This window comes from Homo sapiens, chromosome 2 (assembly GCF_000001405.40).
Source record: "Homo sapiens chromosome 2, GRCh38.p14 Primary Assembly".
In the NCBI taxonomy this organism is placed as follows: Eukaryota; Metazoa; Chordata; class Mammalia; order Primates; family Hominidae; genus Homo; species Homo sapiens.
In genome coordinates, this window is record NC_000002.12 from 39,716,025 (window position 1) to 39,734,651 (window position 18,627).

General features: G+C 42.0%; 1 protein-coding gene across 7 annotated transcripts in view, besides 2 other annotated features; it reads left to right on the plus strand.

Moving 5' to 3' along the window:
* The window catches only part of TMEM178A (transmembrane protein 178A), a 70,478-nt gene that overhangs the window by 50,542 nt on the left and 1,309 nt on the right, over nt 1–18,627 (plus strand). For 6 of the 7 annotated variants that reach the window (NM_001167959.2, NM_152390.3, XM_005264144.1 and 3 more), the window contains one exon: nt 986–1,939. The exons of the other annotated variant lie outside the window; for it this stretch is intronic. In NM_001167959.2, coding sequence (NP_001161431.1) covers nt 986–1,227 — 242 coding nt within the window. In that variant the 3' untranslated portion in view covers nt 1,228–1,939. Of the gene's footprint in view, nt 1–985; nt 1,940–18,627 lie in introns of those variants that run through there. 7 annotated transcript variants of the gene reach the window in all.
* Nucleotides 4,997–5,498: an enhancer, noted in NCBI's record as "H3K4me1 hESC enhancer chr2:39948161-39948662 (GRCh37/hg19 assembly coordinates)". NCBI's record gives its function as "activates a minimal SCP1, AML or CMV promoter by ChIP-STARR-seq in primed H9 embryonic stem cells {active_cell/tissue: H9 hESC(primed)}" and the evidence as "EXISTENCE:reporter gene assay evidence [ECO:0000049][PMID:30033119]".
* Nucleotides 5,499–5,998: an enhancer, noted in NCBI's record as "H3K4me1 hESC enhancer chr2:39948663-39949162 (GRCh37/hg19 assembly coordinates)". NCBI's record gives its function as "activates a minimal SCP1, AML or CMV promoter by ChIP-STARR-seq in primed H9 embryonic stem cells {active_cell/tissue: H9 hESC(primed)}" and the evidence as "EXISTENCE:reporter gene assay evidence [ECO:0000049][PMID:30033119]".

The following is an 18,627-nucleotide window of genomic DNA, read 5'->3' on the forward strand; positions in this document are numbered from 1 at the left end:
TTTCCAGTCAATAAATGTTGTCTCTGTTGTATACAGGGATAAACCAGACTATGAAGAAGAGATGTGTAGGATTCAGAACAGAACTGGACATTCTGATACTTGATTGGGTGCCAGTTTCTGTTTTTATTACTCACCACACTCTGATCCTCTGCCTATCCAAAAGGAGCATCTTGAGGGTCCATTGCGGTGGAATAGAAGCACCTATATCCACATGAATTGAGTACTAAAAATCCTGTGTTTGGGGCTTATGAAGTATTTTTAAAATCAGTCCTGATTTTAGTGTTGCAGAAGGAAAATTACACACACATGGATTGGTCTAAAAAGCAAAGTTTTGGGTCTGTCCATGTTCCTTATGTCACTCCAATTGCCTCCATTTTGAATGGTTGAAATGGATGATCTCCTTGCTCAGCTATTTTACATCATATGGTATATGTAAGACTGTGCCTTAACAAAAAAGATTTAGCTACTTGTATGACTTCATCTAAAATATTATTTAAGGCAACATGATAAATATTTATGATAATGTTAATTGAAAAAGAAAGCAGATGTTGTATAACGATTACAACAGAATAACTGTATGAAATTAGGTGGAGAGCGAAGGAAAATGAAAACTATTTTGTGCTTGATTTGAGTGATTATAGAAGTTTTTCTCTTAAAAATAGAACTTTTATTGTTTTTAAGAATAAAAAAAGAATTCCAATATATATAACCATTTGAATTAGATAATTCTGAATAATTCAGGTTATCAGAATTTTCCTGTCTCTTTCACTCCTGCATCTCCATTCCCTAGTGTAGGGTCTGGCACACAGAAGTTTTGCCAATGTTTGTTATATGAATTAATTCAAGTAAAATAATTATGGATCATTTGTGAATTTGGAGTGACTGCCTCAGTGGTTGATCTGATTTTCATAAAGGCCTGTCTGGCATTTGTCTTGTAACAGGCAAACTGTAACTAATCATTCTGTTCTCTTTGTATTATTTATAGGGATATTTTGCACCATTTCCCTCTGTACTTATGCCGCCAGTATCTCGTATGATTTGAACCGGCTCCCAAAGCTAATTTATAGCCTGCCTGCTGATGTGGAACATGGTTACAGCTGGTCCATCTTTTGCGCCTGGTGCAGTTTAGGCTTTATTGTGGCAGCTGGAGGTCTCTGCATCGCTTATCCGTTTATTAGCCGGACCAAGATTGCACAGCTAAAGTCTGGCAGAGACTCCACGGTATGACTGTCCTCACTGGGCCTGTCCACAGTGCGAGCGACTCCTGAGGGGAACAGCGCGGAGTTCAGGAGTCCAAGCACAAAGCGGTCTTTTACATTCCAACCTGTTGCCTGCCAGCCCTTTCTGGATTACTGATAGAAAATCATGCAAAACCTCCCAACCTTTCTAAGGACAAGACTACTGTGGATTCAAGTGCTTTAATGACTATTTATGCGTTGACTGTGAGAATAGGGAGCAGTGCCATGGGACATTTCTAGGTGTAGAGAAAGAAGAAACTGCAATGGAAAAATTTGTATGATTTCCATTTATTTCAGAAAGTTTGTATGTAACAATTACCCGAGAGTCATTTCTACTTGCAAAAGGATTCGTAACAAAGCGAGTATAATTTTCTTGTCATTGTATCATGCTTGTTAAATTTTAATGCAGCATCTTCAGAACTTGTCCTGATGGTGTCTTATTGTGTCAGCACCAAATATTTGTGCATTATTTGTGGACGTTCCTTGTCACAGGAAGATTCTTCTTCTGTTGCCTTATTGTTTTTTTTTTTTTAAGTCTCTTCTCTGTCTTTGTACTGGAATCGAAATCATAAGATAAACAGATCAAACGTGCTTAAGAGCTAACTCGTGACACTATGCAGTATTGTTTGAAGACCTGTTGTTCAACCTCTGTCTCTTTATGTTAACTGGATTTCTGCATTAAATGACTGCCCCCTTGTTAATCTGGGTGTGTTTTCCTATGTCTTTTAGCTGTGTCAACAGGTCTCCCTAGCCATAAGGACAGAGGAAAACTCTGTTGTTTTAATAAGACTCTTATTAAGACTTAATAATTGCTTCATTTCAATTAGGTTGGGCATTATTATCTTTTGTAGCAACCACACACTTGCTATTGACAAAAGATGTCATTTTCAAACTTGTTTTTAAACCTTCCTATACTATTTACAATTTTCTTCTTCTCCTTCTCTTTTTCTCTCATTTTCCCCTCTCTCTTCCTCTTCCTCCCCTGTTTACCATCTGCCTGGTATGTATCCAGTCATAAGGATACATGGTCTCTGTTTTTGTTCTTGGACCTCCTAAAGCAGCGATTTTCAACCTTGGCTGCTCAGAGTCACCTGGTGAGGTCTTCAGCTGTACCTAAACAGGGCCTCACCCCAGACCAATTAACTCAGAATATCCACAGCTGGGCCTAGGCTTGAGCATTTTTGTAAAAACATCCCAGATGATTCTGATACACAGCTGTGATTGAGAGCCACTCATTTGGGCCAGAACCGTGGTTATCTCCTTAGCTACTAACAAAGCGAACTCACTTATTTAGCACTTACTATGTGCCAGTAACTGGGCTGTGGTGTTATTTCACTTAATCCTCTCCAAAGCTCTATGAGGTAAGTGCTGTTATTTTATGTTACTCATAAGCTGAGGATCAGACTCAAAACATTTGCTTCATTTTTTTTTCTCGATCCTTTTTCTCTGTGTGGGTTTGGGACAACAGTTAAAATTCTTCCGTTGTGTTTGCTTATCTTTCAGCGGAGGGTGGGGCACTCGCCGACTTCTAAGCTTTTCCTTTTAACTCCAACCCTTGTTCCCGATTCTACACACAATGTAGGATAAAGACAGCTTGTAAAATAGAAGACGCCATTCCAGAATATGCTGTTTCAGATTTTGATTTCATAAAAGATTCTTTTCTTTCTTCTTTATAAAAACTGATTTAGTCCTCATAAAAGGAAAATGATCATCTACTCCCAAAGGATAGAGTCTGATTTCCAAGTGATGGTGTCCACATATTGTCATGTAAGGGCCGAAAGGGGTTGGAGGATGCCGGCGACCACACCAGCTTTGGCTCCGTGGCTCCAGGCACAGCACAGGCTCATGAGTGTATTCACTGGCACTCTCTCAGGCCTTTTAATATACTGGTCCCTCTGGATGAGATCAGAGACGTATAGAAAGGGTCAATTATTTTCAAAGCAGGAGAGCTCTTTCTTTGAAGTCTTCTTTAAAGATCCCCATAGAAGATGTCAAGACTCTTGGACATTTATATTCCAACCAACAAAGCAGTGTCTGAGTGAGTAACTTTTGAAGTTTCAGAGAAGTTTCCTAGGGGTTTGAGGTGAGAGTGGAAGAAAGCCTCGCGGTAGCAGGAGGTTGAAGGGTTCACACACCAGAAAGATTTGCCTCGAAGCCAGGGGAGTTCACTTAGGATTCAAACGAGTGCTGGCAAGGACTGAGGCTCCCTGCCTTCCAGCCAAAGTGAGCTCGAAGCAACCAACGTGCCAGGCCAAGGTTCCTCGCTTTCTACTTACTGTCACGCAAGTGTGGGCAAATGTTGCCAGTGCTGGGCATTTGGCCCTGAGTCCTTGGGCTTCTCTTAGGAGTTTTTTCTTAACTGGCTTGTGAATGAAGAATGATTGAAATGATTGCACAGTACTGTGCAGGACAGAATAATTTATTGAAATCCTTTGTTCTATGTTCTCTCTGTCCCACACACCCCCCTTTTTAACAGACTTGTCCTTGGTTTATTTGCTGTATTAGAACCAGTGTTGTCCATTCTCGGGGAAGCCTCCCTCATCTTTCAAGGACTACCATGGACCCTCGATAATCGAGATTTCCCAGGATATGGGAAACCTCCACAGAACATAATAGCCCCCATAACATTTCTTATATAGTCAACAAATATTTACTGAATGGCTATTATGTGCTCACATTCTAGCACTTGGGAAACATTAATGAAGCAAAACAGACAAAGGTTTTTGCCCTGGTAAAGCTTATGTTCTAGAAAAATGCAGTGAAGGACATAGTGAAAAAAATTAAGCTTACTCTTTTTGGCCCTAAATTGTTTTGTAAGTCCAGGGTTAAAGTTATTCAATTACTAAAATAAGTTTCTTTTAAATTACATTCCCATTGGCTGTGCATTTCATACTTCACAACATTCTCATTATTTGAATCTAGCCCTGGCAAGTTAAAAAAATACTAACTTTTTGCAAGGGCCGGGTGGGGGGTGCCTCTTAAAGATTTCTTATTCGAAATTGAAGTCTGAGAATGACAAAAGTGTGCCCCCACAAGTGAGCTAGAGGGAATAAAAACCTGGGAACCCGGGACTCAGGTGAATGGGGGCCCACGAGCTCAAAATATACCACCTGATGGAGGCTGGTGCAGGTGGGATACTCACACTGCCTAGGCAACCACCCACTCCAGATCTTTGCTCAGGCTCTTTCCTCTGCTGGGGACACCCCCTCCTCTGCCTGGCTTATTCTGACTTTTCCTTGTGTCTCAGCTTCTACACAACACTCCCGGACACCTTCCTCAAACATGCTGCATTGCTTCAAATCCTTTCCTGACCAGTTACGCTCCGCACATGAATTGCCTGGCAACCCATAACCAGATCATAGACTCTTTCAAGGAGGAATCTGTGCCTTGTCCCGGTGCTCAGCCCACCCAGTGCCTGGTAGACCGTAGGTGCTCTTAAATCTTTGTGGAATCAATACATGGATTCAGAGTCATAGATAAACTCTTTTCTTCCCTGGACAGAGCTGACTCCCTTAGCACCAATTTTAGGGAGCCCATAAAAAATGTACAGTCGTGTGATGAGGCTAAATGGAAAGAGAATATAGCTTGGCAAGCAAGGAAACCTCATTAGAATAATTAAAGGGACTATTAACCCAAACCAACCTAGACGTAACTTAAAATGTGTTATGAACTACTGTGGAACATTTATTTGATGGCTCAAACATTAAGTTAGTAACCTCAATATGGTTCTACACCTCAATTTAAAGCGTTCTCATTTATGTGCATGTGTGTTTCAAATCCCTAATTGGAATTCTGAAAGGAATGCTTCAGAAATGACTTCCTTTGAATGCAAATAGCTATCCTGACGAAGAACACATTTAAATTGCATATGAATTTCTCTGGGGCCTTGCCCTTTGACTGGAAGAAGAGGAAGTTTTCTGTGCTGCATGCAGGACAACCACAAATGCTTGAAGATGCTCAGGGCACCCAGTTGCATACTGGGAACTTGGCTATGCAATACATATTCCTCTTAATATGCAACCTGTGTTTTGCCAGGCATCAAAGCAAGATTTCTAATTGTCCTAAAACATTAGAATATGTCTGCCTGGAGCCCCTGTAAGAGGAAAACAGATTGGCTGGCTATAAAAGAAGATAGCATTTTTTCTGTTTTTATTTCCAATTTTTTTCTCCCCTTCAGCATTCACTATAAAATACTGCCTGCTACTATAAGGTCTGGCTATGCTTGGTTTCTCTTAGGTCTCTAAGTGAATGTTTTGCAGAGAGGAAGGAGACAGGACCATGGGTCTAGAGCAGAAAGAACAAGGGAAGAGTGGTGCAGGTGAGGTTGCCAAGGTAGGCAGAGGCTTGCTGGTCACAGTAAAGAGTTTGGGTTTTACTCTGGTAATTGAAAACAAACGGCCTAAAAAAGGATAATGATGTGATCTGATTTCCACTTTAGGACTATCAGTTGGCCAGGTGTGGTGGATCACACCTGTCATTCCGGTGTTTTGGAAGGCTGAGGCTGGAGGATCTCTTGAGTCCAGGTATTCAAGACCAGGCTGGGCAAATAGAGCCTGTCTCTATAAAAACATTTTTAAAATTAGCCAAGTGTGGTGGTACATGCCTGTAGGCTTAGCTACTCGGCAGGCTGGGGCAGGAGGATTGCTTGAGTCTAGAAGCTATTGAGCTATTATCACACCACTGCACTGCACTCCAGCCTGGGTGACAGAGTGAGACCAGTCTCAAAAAAAAAAAAAAAAAAAAAAAAAAAAAAATCAGTGTTGCCACTGCTGCTGGATGGAGAATGGATTTAAAGAGGCACCACTAGAGGAGAAGAACCCAGTTAGGAAGGAGGAAGTTGCATAGGAACCCAGGAGACAAAATTGTGCCTGGATGGAGAGGGTGGTGATGAAAATGCACAGGAGTAGGTGGACATATTTTAGAGATGGAATTGATTTGCTGGTAAGTTACATGGCGGTGGGGAAACAAGGGAAGTTAAGGATGACACCTAAAGAATTTGTAGAGTTAGGTTAATTACTAAGGGAACTGCTTCTTGTATCAAAAAGGAGATACAATAATTTGGGGAAAAGGGGAAAAAGAAAAAACTGCTAAGTTTTATGGTTAACTCAGCGTTATACAGGATAGCGTTTATTTAATGGAGACTGGAATTGAAAACTGTAGTTGAGAAAATATCAATGGCCCAAATGCTCCTTCTTGCTAACTGACCCAGCTGCCAGCCGATTCCTCTCTGATTTCCAGTTGTTTTCCAGAAGTTGTGCATCTAAGACCTGAAGATAGTATTCAGTTTAAGTGTGAACTTGATCAATTAGTGGTGGCTGGGAAGATTTCAGTCCAGGCACAAAGGGGAAAGATGTAGTGTTTGTGAATGAATGGGAAAGGCAGATGTCACATACTGGCCAACCCCAGTTTAAATCACAGCAGATAGACTATTGGTCTGCTTCAGGTAAGCATTTCCCTTTTTTGGAGCTCACTAAGAAATTCTGAGAATAAACTCCCACATCTTAGGGCTGATGTTCCTAATGAACAGACCATTGTCCCAGTGAAGTGCTTATCCTGGTTGGCCCAGAGTCTGACCAGGCCACTGCCTTGAGTGTGGGTGTGAGGATGGATGAACTGTACCCTCAAGTTCATCAGCAAGTGTTCTAAATCAGGACCTTAGAGGTAAATTCCCTCAATATCTGGCTAACTGTGAAGTGGCATCCTCTGGGGATTCTGGAAAGGGCATGGAAACCTTGCTATAGCAAGGGTGCACGGAGGCTCCGCTGGATCCTACACAAAGGGCCTGGGCTCCCTTGACTTGCTCCCAGAACGCAATCACAGTTCAGGGCATTTCATTCTTTAATCATAAAACACCTTTTATTTCCATCCTCATAGCTTTGCCTGTTAGGTTGATTGTGATGAACACATAAATACTTGCTTTAGAAACCTAGCCACGCCTGAACTGAACTTCACTCAGCTGTGGCTTCAGTGGGCTTCAAATTCATTCCCCACAGGTAAAACACATTGCACTTATCATATTGCTTAAATCTGTTAATCACAAGAGTTTAAAATGAACTTAAAGACCTGAATAAATTGTTGAAGTTTTCTCATTTCTCCTCTAAGCCCTGATTTGCCATTTGTTAGTTCTGGACTCTGTTGGTTGCTCAAAAAATAAATAGATATATAAGTAAATAAATAAAGCACTTAATTAATTCTAAGAGGATGGCAGTGGAGCCATATTATTGTTAACTTTTAGGTCTCCTTCATTCTTGTAAGTACTAAACATAAATAAGAAGTGGCAGAGAAAGCTCGGATTCTCAAAAGCTTCTCCAGTGCTGTTTCTTGGCATTAATGAGACTGAGTCCCTGGGTGAGGGACTGCCTCAGTACCTCCTCAGTGACTGTGTCAGGCTGTGTCCTTTATAAACCATATCTTGTTACTATTTGCCCCTACTTTATGGGTAGAGAAGCCAAGGCTCACAGAGGTTGAGTAACCTTCCCTAAGATACTAGCCAAGATTTGGTTTCCAGCTTGCTCACTCCAAAATCCTTCCACCTTCCTGCACAGCATCCACGTCAACTACCCAAGACCCAGCAGCATTTCCATAGTGCATTTCTAACCCTATCTGAGCCTACTGTCAACATGTTATACATCTAGATAGGTTCACATTCCCCTGCATTTTCCAAGGGTCCCTTTGGAAGTTACTGCTCTATAGTTTTTAAGCAAGCTTCTATATTTCTAAGCCAGAGCACACACTGCACTTTGTAATTCTGTAAAGAATGCCAGACCTATTTTTGTAAGCACAGAATCTCTCCTTACGTGACTGACCTTCAAGAGACCCTGTAGCTTGCAGTAGCCTAAAGGTATGACAGCAATTTTAATTACCTTCTTGGCACTTCCCCCACAGAACATTATGAGAAATTCCCGTGTTACTAGGGCTGCTCAAAGATCTCTATTTAAGTGGGTATGTCCTCCTTACTTTGTCCTGTGACAGCATCCCTGACGGCATTTTTTAAATTATTAGATGAAAGTAATTATTTCAAAAAAAAAAAAGAGGCTATCTAGCCTTACGGTTAGAGGTAGGATAGCAACTCAAAGACTCATGAATTTCCGTCCTTTCTCCCTGACTGTCTTGATGTGTGGCCCTGCAAGAATGCTGGTAATAACCACACATTTAAGAAGCCTGAAAATCACTTTGAACACCTCTACAAACTTTTATTTCCTTTATCCAAGTTGAATGTGAACTAATTTAAAAAACATAACATATTAAGTTACACTAACAATAAAATAAAACCATCTGATGTGGAGTCAAAACAAGGAAACCTTCCAAATTTTTTTATTATATCTCAAGGAAAGTACAGTACTTCATTTCGTATTTTCCCTTTGAGAGACTGGTCGCTGTGCAGTGACTTAGAAAACACCCCATAACCAAACCAAAACAAACCTCAAGACAGCCTCGGAGGCATATGGAAACTATAATGGTCATCTCTCTTTGACAGCAGAGGAACAGAGACTCAGAGCATTAACCCAAGATCTCTCAGCCAGTCTCTGGCAGAAGGTTCACCTCCCCAGCAAAAAAGCGAGGTAGATTTTGAGGTCAGCATGTCCAAGTATCTATATTCCTGCAAACATGTCGAGCAGCCTCTACTTTACAGGACTCTGTGGTGACGATGGTAAATCGCTATCATGCCAACATGTTTCTCAAATAAACTGGACTTGGGAATTGAAATTAAACCAACTGTGAAAGGTAATCTGGGGGAGATGACGCATGTGATTAATACAGTATTGACTCAAGGGATGAACCAGTTCTTAAACAAAGAATTCTCCAAATAAAGTAACAGTTTAAAGAGTGTTCACAGGAGTAGGGGAATGGTTTTCAAGAGAAGTGAAATGAAGATGAGGAAAGACCGAGGGTGAGCTAGAGGGACAGCCATGTAGAGCCATGCGGGGTGGGACGGGTGAGTGGCCCTCAGAACCCTATCCCAAACACCCCTACAAAACCAGTTCCTTTGAGGAGCCAGATGAGTAAGAATACAATGAGTTAAGAGGAAATTCAGTACAATTTCATTATTCTTTAAAGCAATTAGCCTGTGGGTCTGCGATACGCCTACATAATCAAGAAAGGTGTCAGAAAATGTCAAGCTTTTACCTAGTAACGATTGAGGAGCTGGTTCTGTGTTGCACGATTCCATACATTCCAATATCACAAAGGAAGAAAAAAATCTTCCTTCAGGGAAAGACAATTTGTTCTTGTTTCCTTTTGACAATGGAATGCATGGATTTGGTCAATGCGGGGGAAACTTGGTTCAGCATTCTGGACTTTTATGGCTGTGTTCACTTGGTTGGCAGATGACCATGAAAAGTAACTTGTTTGGGATGTCAGTGGGTGTGGAGGAAATGCCAGTAAATGTGTGTTGAAGGAATGAGGGAATAAATGAATGACGCATCACTAAGATGGTGATCCCTGGTCTGTGAAGCCGACTTGCTGCCTCACAGCCTCTATTTCTCAAGGTTACTTTTCTTTTATTGTTCTCAGGCCTAACATACGATTGTAGACTCAAACTCTTTGTGTCACTTTAGGAGCAGGTCCACCGTGGCAAAATGGTTCTAGGGCCTCGGCAAAAATAGGGACATCTCAATACTGTGGAACAAAGACACATGTGGTCAAATGAATGACCAGTTGTGTTCACTTGCTCATTCATGTGTTCTTTGATTTGTCACATCTCTATAGAGCACCTAGTATGTGCCAGAGACTGATTTAAGTGCAGGGAATACATAGTGAATAAATCAAAGCTGCTGCCTTCAAAAAGCTGCCATTGTAAGGTGACAAAGGAAAAAAGTAAAAAATCTTCCTTCAGGGAAAGATAATTTGTTCTTTTTTCCTTTGTGTCTGTCTCAGAGAGACAGACAGTAATAAAACAGGGCTTGTGCAGTAGGTGGTGGTGATATGTGCTATGAACGAAAAATGAGGTGGCTAGGAGAATAGAGTGCTAAAGGTGAGGGGATGGCCAGTTTAGGGAAGCTGGCGTTGGCCTCTCTGATAAGAAAACATTTGCACAGAGAGCCTGAGCAATGCAGGTGTCCTGAGGAATGTCCAGGAAGGGTAGATAGCAGGTGCAGAGGCCTGGGATGGGAACAAGCTTTGCATGTGGCAGGGTCAGCAAAAGGTAGAATGAAAGTGAGAGTGTTGAGATGAAGTAAGAGGGAAACCAGGCTATCCAGCACCCTTTGAACACCTTTCCAATAAAACCCAAGACTTCGGGTTTCATTCTGAGTAAGATGGAAAGTCATTGGAGGATTTCAAACATAAGAGTGATAAAATCTGGCTTACAGAAAAACAGGCAAAATACCTTTGGCCCAGTGAATGAATTGTCCTTGGTTTCCATGTTAATACCCAGAGGCCAGTACTGGGCGTTTAGGTCTATCTGGCAAAATATATGGTTAATGTGCCCATTCTTCCAAGGTGAAGTCAATCTCACAAAGTGTAGGATACCAAGGGCAAGAGTCACAAAAAGGCAGCTAGCAGGGTGACCAAAAAATGGTAGAAATAATGTGTAAGGGTTGGGGGTGGGTAAGGAAGGGCCCTGGAGTAATTGCTGTCATTTGTTTCATCTCGAGCAGGCAGTTTCTCACTGAAGAAACTTAATGAAAACTGACAATATTAAATGATTGTGGCATTCAGATGGCAAAATTACACTTCAAATCTCCTGACTCTCTTGAACATAATTCATGGAATTTAAGATAAAAAGCTGAGCTCTTCATGCACGTTTTGAGTTGTTTCTTTAAATTTCCAACAATCCATAATTTTTCTCTCAAATGTTTTCCTCGACTCAGCTCATTTTTCTCTCTGCCGAGGTGTTCCAGAGAGTGGTTTCATCCCTCCATTTCCAAAGGTCAAGGATATTCCTCTATCTCAGAAGCCCGGACTTCTGGCTGGTATCCTCTTGCTCCTGCTCACATCCCTTTCAGATAGCTGTCACAGCAGCCATTCAGGCAGGGCCAGTTTACCAAGGAGCATTCCCAGAACCTGACATGGAGCAAGTACTCACTAACTGCCTGGTAGCTAAGTAAATAAAGAAGCAAATGAACAAATGAATAAATAACAAGATTTGAAAAGGCTACTAACACTATGGCAAAATATGAACATGCACTAAAAAAACTCACCTGGATTTCTTAATTAGCAAGATTTCTCTAAGACTTTGCATCTCACCTAATTTTAGTCCAAGGGCTTTCTTGCATAGCTCTCTGAACCGACACATTTACTTAATATCTAAGTGAGCATTTCTTCTCAAACCTCAGTTTATTTTGAATCCCTGAGACTTAGCTTTTTTATTTTTTAATTATACTTTAAGTTCTAGGGTACATGTGCACAATGTGCAGGTTCGTTACGTAGGTATACATGTGCCATGTTGGTTTGCTGCACCCATCAACTCATCATTTGCATTAGGTAATTCTCCTAATGCTATCCCTCCCCCAGCCCCCCACCCCTCGACAGGCCCCGGTGTGTGATGTTCCCCACCCTGTGTCCAAGTGATCTAACTGTTCATTTCTCATCTCTGAGAACATGAGGTGTTTGGTTTTCTGTCCCTGTGACAGTTTGCTGAGAATGATGGTTTCCAGCTTCATCCATGTCCCTGCAAAGGACATGAACTCATCCTTTTTTATGGCAGCATAGTATTCCATGGTGTATATGTGCCACATTTTCTTAATCCAGTCTATCATTGATGGACATTTGGGTTGGTTCCAAGTCTTTGCTATTGTGAATAATGCCACAATAAACATATGTGTGCATGTGTCTTTATAGTAGCATGATTTATAATCCTTTGGGTATGTACCCAGTAATGGGATTGCTGGGTCAAATGGTAATTCTAGTTCTAGATCCTCCAGGAATCGCCACACTGACTTCCACAGTGGATGAACCAATTTACACTCCCACCAACAGTGTAAAAGCATTCCTATTTCTCCACATCCTCTCCAGAATCTGTTTCCTGACTTTTTAATGATTGCCATTCTAACTGGCGTGAGATGGTATCTCATTGTGGTTTTGATTTGCATTTCTCTGAGACTTAGCTTTCTAGGTTACACAGGAAGTCGGTGTCTCCCTGGACAGCTGTCTGCTTCTTGAATGGTTTCCGAGTGTCCCTTTGATTCACTGTTCTCAGATCTACAGGCATTTATTTATTCTCTCCTACCAGGAGCTAGTTCAATTTAGTTCAAAAAATATTAATTGTTCTTTTCTGGGCCACACTCTGTACCCTATTCTGGAGGAGGAAAAAATGCTATAAAATAGTACTCCATTTATTTGACATCCTCAAATTTTCATAAATTTTCAAAAACTTTATAGTTGTATGCATTTAATATTAAAGATATTTTAGCAGAGACTAAAATCATGATTTAATTCTGCAAAGTACACCGAGATCATTAGTACTGCTACCTCTTACGATCTACATCACTGTCACTCACTTCAAGTCAAGAAATGAATTTTTTTTTTTTAACCCATCGTTTGTTGCATTTTGGTCACAGAGTCCACCCCTACACGTTTTTTCTTTTCTCCTAAAGATGTATGTAAGGCTTAGGCAGATGATGACAAAGACTGTATTATTCAAAATCTTTGGGAGGCCAAAACATTAAAAATGATTTTGGAGAGGGGTGCCAAATACTGATAAAATAGACAACTAGAAAATATGGTAACAGAAAAAATGCAAAACATTTGGAGGGACTCCACTGAGAATGAGATGTGCAGAGCCTGCAGGGCAGGAGAGTGCTTCAGTAACCTTGGTGTGTGGCACAGCGCCCCCAGCTGCAATCAACAGAATAACTCTAGGTTGTTCGGCAGAAAAGGAATTCATTAAAAAAAAATTAGAATGCTCAATAGGGCCAGAAAATTAATCTAGGGGACTACACAACCAGGAACACCATCCAAACCATACAACAAGATGGTAGTTTCAAAGATTCACTGCCACCCCTGCCGGGGATCCACACCATAGCTTGCACCATGGATATTGAACGCTGAATGCTGTCCTCTACCCCAGCTAGCCCCTGAGGCCAGATGCTTCTGCTGCCTCTCCCCCAGAAAGTGGATTCCATGGTGCCTGGTTCCTCCGCATAGCTCACATCTGAATCCAATTATCATATGTCAGTGTCTGGCCCCCATTCTACCTATAATATAGGTCGGAAAAGCTGGTGTTCTGGTTTCTGCCTTGGAGAGGTGGGACTCAAACATTGGAAAATACGATAATTCACCACTTTGATGTACCCTTTGGATGCCCAACATCAATATCTGTTCTTAATTTGATATTTAAACTTCCTCCAACCAACCAATATTCGCATGTAAAATATGCAATTATACTTGACAGAAAAACCTGCTCATCCTCTCCCCTTCTGACAAGGGTAACACATCCATGTCAAGAACATGATTTCTGGGTGGCTTCCATTCCTCCTCTAGTTCCATCTGATATTCTGTAAGTTAGGGTTTAAACTATGCGATGGAAGTCTTAAATTGGGAGGGAGTTGAAAGTCATCCTACTCTTGACCAATGGGAGACAGGAGCTGGTGGATATTCTCCTCTTTTGCTCCTTAAGCAGACAATTCTGGGTTGCATCCTATACAGGTCTTCAGAGGGGCCCTACAGGATCAGATCCCAGCTTCTCACAGTGGTGATCAGCTCAACAGTGCATCCTTGGATTACCTTTTTCCCTATTTCTCTTTTACTCCTTCCAGTCCCCAGCTCCCAAAATAAATTATCTCCAAAAAAACCTTCGTCTCATCTCGGGTCTTGGTAAGAACCTAGGTTAACACTGGGTTCTAGACATACCTCTCTCTGATTACTAGGAACAAACACTCCAGCCCACATAATTCAACCTGTTTATGTGTTTCTGTCCAGTGGAATCAAGGACCCAAAATAATTGGGTGGCAGTCTTACCTCTTAATTCAATGGTTTCTTGTTGTGTTTGCTGACAGAAGAAATCCTCTCTTGGGAATGATTTTGAAAGGAGGAGGGTTTCCACGAATGACCCTGGGTGCTCAGAGTGGATTAAATGGACAATGAGCAGCTGGGAATTTGGGGGCACCTCTTTTCTCAGAAAAAGGGGCTGACTACATTCAAGCTCAGATTCCCATACAACTGGTGGTTTTCCCCTTGCCTCTCCCTGGCAGGGAGACTGTAACATATCATGTGTCCCCAAGATCACTAGGTCCGTCAAGTTTCCCACGTGCAGGGCAGCTGGCTTTCTAGACAATTCCTGTAAAGAGCTGACAGACCAAATCCAGACTGTCTGGCACCAAGAAGCTTATGCATTCCCCTAGTGAAAGCTCCTTTCTCATGGTTGCCCTGTAAGAAAGGAGACCCACAGGCTGGTGGCAGTATTGGTGGTGGTGGTGTGGTCGTTCGTTCTAACGTAACTGATCTTTCCATGAGATGGAGAGACCAATGGATGGTATGGAATATGTCTTGACTTTTTATGCAATAGCAGACAGCACTGAAGGTTTCCATCTGGAACAAGAGGCATTGAGACCTCTAAGCCAGGGAGCCCAGACACTCTAGTGATAAGATGCAAACATTTTAATAGCGTAATTAGGAGTGATATAGTAACAGGTACCACTCTCACTTTCAGCTCTTGGGCTCTTTATTCTGACTATGGGAGAAATAGCACCATCTATTGGCTGTTGGTTCATAGCACACAGAGTATCCTGTATGGAGACATCTCATCTTCTCAAGGAGTTATCTTCCTGCTGGCACAATAACTGGGTGTTCAGTAAGCCATTCCATCATGCCGTAAGGCCTTATGGTGAGACAAGAAATCCCATGAGCCTCAGTCTCTTGTCTCACTGTCATCCCTGTAAAATAAGCTCTTTAGTGAGAAGCACTGTTACATGGAAATGAATGATAGTGAATAAGGCAATTTGTTAAGTTCATGGAAGGTGTTGTTGGCATAAAGAATCCAAATACAGAGTAAATAGTTATTCCAGTGAGGACAAATTATTGCCCTCTTCACAAGGGGGAGGGTCTTCAATATAATTCCCCTCCTGTTTGTAGTTGTTTTAGTCCATTTAGTGTTGCTATAATAGAATACTTGAGACTGGGTAGTTGATAAAGAAAAGTTGTTTATTGAGCCCATGATTCTGCGGGCTGAGAAGTTCAAAAGCATAGTGCCACATCTGGTCAGTTTCTGGTGAGGGCCATGGGCTGGCTCAAAATATGGCAGAGAAGCAGAAAAGTGAGTGGGTAGGTACAAAGAGAGCAAGAGAATGTCTAGGAAGCAGAACTTCTTTTACAACAGCCAATCACTGGTAACTAATTTAGTCCTGGGAGAGTGAGAATGAACTAGCTCCCTCAAGAGGGCATTGATTCATTCATGAGGGATATCTACCGACATGACCCAAATACCCCTACTAGGTCCAACTTCCCCAAACCATCACGTTGGGAATCAAATTTCAATGTGAGCTTCCAGGAGGACAAACTCAAGCTACAGCAGTAGTGTTATATTAAGTCTCTCAGGGTTGGTCACTGCTGCTGGAAATTAGTCAGCAGTGGCAGTGGCCACATCTTGGCGAGAAGTCCTTGTTGGGCCAGTGCATTGTTTCTGTCTGTCTCTGCAACCATTGTCTATGGGGCCACTGAGCAAGCACCAGGATGGCTGGGGAAAGGGTAGGGCACTGGGCAGGCAATCTTCCAACTACATATTTAGAACCTCCTACACAGTATGGCCTCTTGAGACCATTCCAATAGGACAAAAATATTCACCTATATTGGGGTCTAGTATAACATGTCCATCCACATTCCTCTTCCCGAGACCTTATTTCATGTTCCTGACCATCCATCTAAACTGATACTCATGAGGATGACATGTTGAGGATCTGCCTCTCAGGCCATCTCTCCTTCCAGGAAAAGTGTATAATGTGGACTACTCCAAGTTCTGCTCCCTGGGAGGAGAACTTCCCCACTTTCTTTCCTGTCTTTCACCCTGAGTGGGGCTGCAATTAAATTCCCACAGGTGCCAGCAAAACTTGCAGAGTCATCTGTAAGCCATATTTGACTTCTTTTCTCCTTGGTGAACTGCTCACTGGAGACTCCTCATGAGACCATGGCTATGAGGGAGGGGTGAGTGTGGCAGGAAGCACACTGAGAGGAAAAAGCACTGACTGCCCCTGCAGCTCATGAGTGCCGTCAGCCATGTGGAACTCAATGCTGATATATACCGCTCCCATCTGATGAGGATGTGCTGCTGGGTTGGGTCCATGCGACTTTTGGCTTGGCGTGTCATTACTTCAAGATGGGCAGCTTAGGTCATATGGTCACCTAGTGTCCCATGGTCAAGCCCTCAGAAGCAAGCCCCAATAGCAAGTCAAGAGTTATTTCCAAAAGGAGAATAATTAACTTGCATAGGAGAGCTTGGCTTTGCTCCAAAAGCTAAGATGCTGCAGCTGTGCTTCCTCTACTGGGATTTGCTGCAGGCTTCACACACCCTCCAGGTCTGCCCCAGTTGCTCTGAGCACCATCAGATCTCCTGGGTCTCTAAGGGCATTAGGGAGCTGCTTACAGTAGGGCTGGTGCAAGTAGAGAGCCATCTCTTAGCCCAGGCCTCAATTAACAGTAAATGAGTCAGAGCAGCAAATCCAAAGCTCATGTAGGCTGCCTTCAGATGCCACAGAGTTCCATCAACATCCGTGCCTTTCTTAGTGTTGGCACTAACATCTGCAGCTCCTACAAATATATGGTATTGCCTTTGTTTATTTCGGTAAGAAGGGGAACCTAAGGAGTGTGACATCAGCCCTTCCAAAAATCTATACCCTTACTCCATGGATCAGAAAGCCATTATGGGTATTCTGCAATTGCTGAGGGTAGCTATTCCAGCTATAGACTCAGACACTGGGTAAGTTACCGGATGGTTTGTCACTGAGAAAGTTGAAGTAGTTGAAAGAGAATTTCCACAGTCTACCACCACCACATCCGCCCACCTTCCAGCATCTGCTCCCACTTATAATCTGTTCTCTTACAACACGTATTTCTGTAATAGGCATTAAATCGAATATTGCTAAGTAAGGAGATGACGTCACTCTCATGTGGAAATTGGGTTGGTTCATACATGATTTTTTCTTTTTAGCATATTAATGCTTTGTGTCACCAGACAGGAGCAGCTGAACGTGAAGGATGCCAATGGAATGAGTTGAACGAACAAGGTGCGGAATAAGGCTCTTTATATGACGTCCATCATCACAGGCTTTTTCTGGTTCATCTTGGCCGCAGGTTCTGCCTTGGCCAGGCAGACAGTGCCTGTTGTGTAACTCAGCATCTCCTTACCCTTCTTTATGCCTAGTCTATCAAGGTGACATTGCCCTTTTCTTGGAAAGGTGAAGTCCTTATTTACTTACATATTTATTAGGAATATAATGTCTTAACTGTGCCAATATTTTCACTAAGATTGGTGTTTCTGTTAGTGTTCAGGTTGCAAAATTGGATGTTTGCAATGGTTTTCCCCAACCAGAATTTATGTTTCTTTTTCATAAATTGTTATTTTTAGTGCATAAATTTGAGAATGAAAAAATTTTTAGGAGCATATTTATCATACTATAGCTGAAATGTCTGTATGCTGTCTTCCTACCCGTAATCGTGAACAAATTATCATGCTCCTGTCTAAAGCTAATTCCTCCAATTGTGGACTGCATTTTATCCCCTTATTCAAGGACGTCGCTCTAGCACTTAGCCCTTTTTTCCTATTTCATCATCTTTTCGTCTTTCCTGGAATTCTCTTTAACATAAAAAAAAAGCTGCTACTTCTCCCAACAAATCTTTCTCTTGCTTTCACACTCTTTACCAATCTACTACTCCTATTTCTTTGCTCACCTGTTCTGCAAAACTAGTTGTAAGAACTGTCTATGCTCACTATCTCCAGCTCTTTTCCTATTTTTTCTTAAGCTCACTGCAGTCTGGTTTTGCTCCCCTTCCATTCCACCAAAAGCCCCATGGTCAAGGTCATGAATGACTCCCTCACTGCTAAAGCCAATGGTCAATTTCCAGTTATCTTACTTGGTCAGTTAGCAGCATTTATAGGGTTAAATACTCCTCCTCTATACCCTTTATTCATGTCTTCCAGGCAACCACACTAGGTTTTCTTTCTATTTCACTGGTTGTTCCATCTCAGTTTTCTTTGGAGTTTCCTCTTCTCCTGCCAACCTCTCAGTATGGGAGGAATTCAGGGCTCAGCCCTGGTCTTATTCTCCTATTCCCAATCCTTTGGTGATCCCATCCAGTTTCATGCCACCTAAATACTGAAAATTCCCATAATGTATCTCCAGAGCAGACCTTTTTCTTAAAGTGCAGACTCACATATTCAATTGCCTAATCAACATCTCCACTTTGTTTAATGCATATTTCAAAATTAGCAAGTCTAAAACTGTCTAGCAAGCAAGTC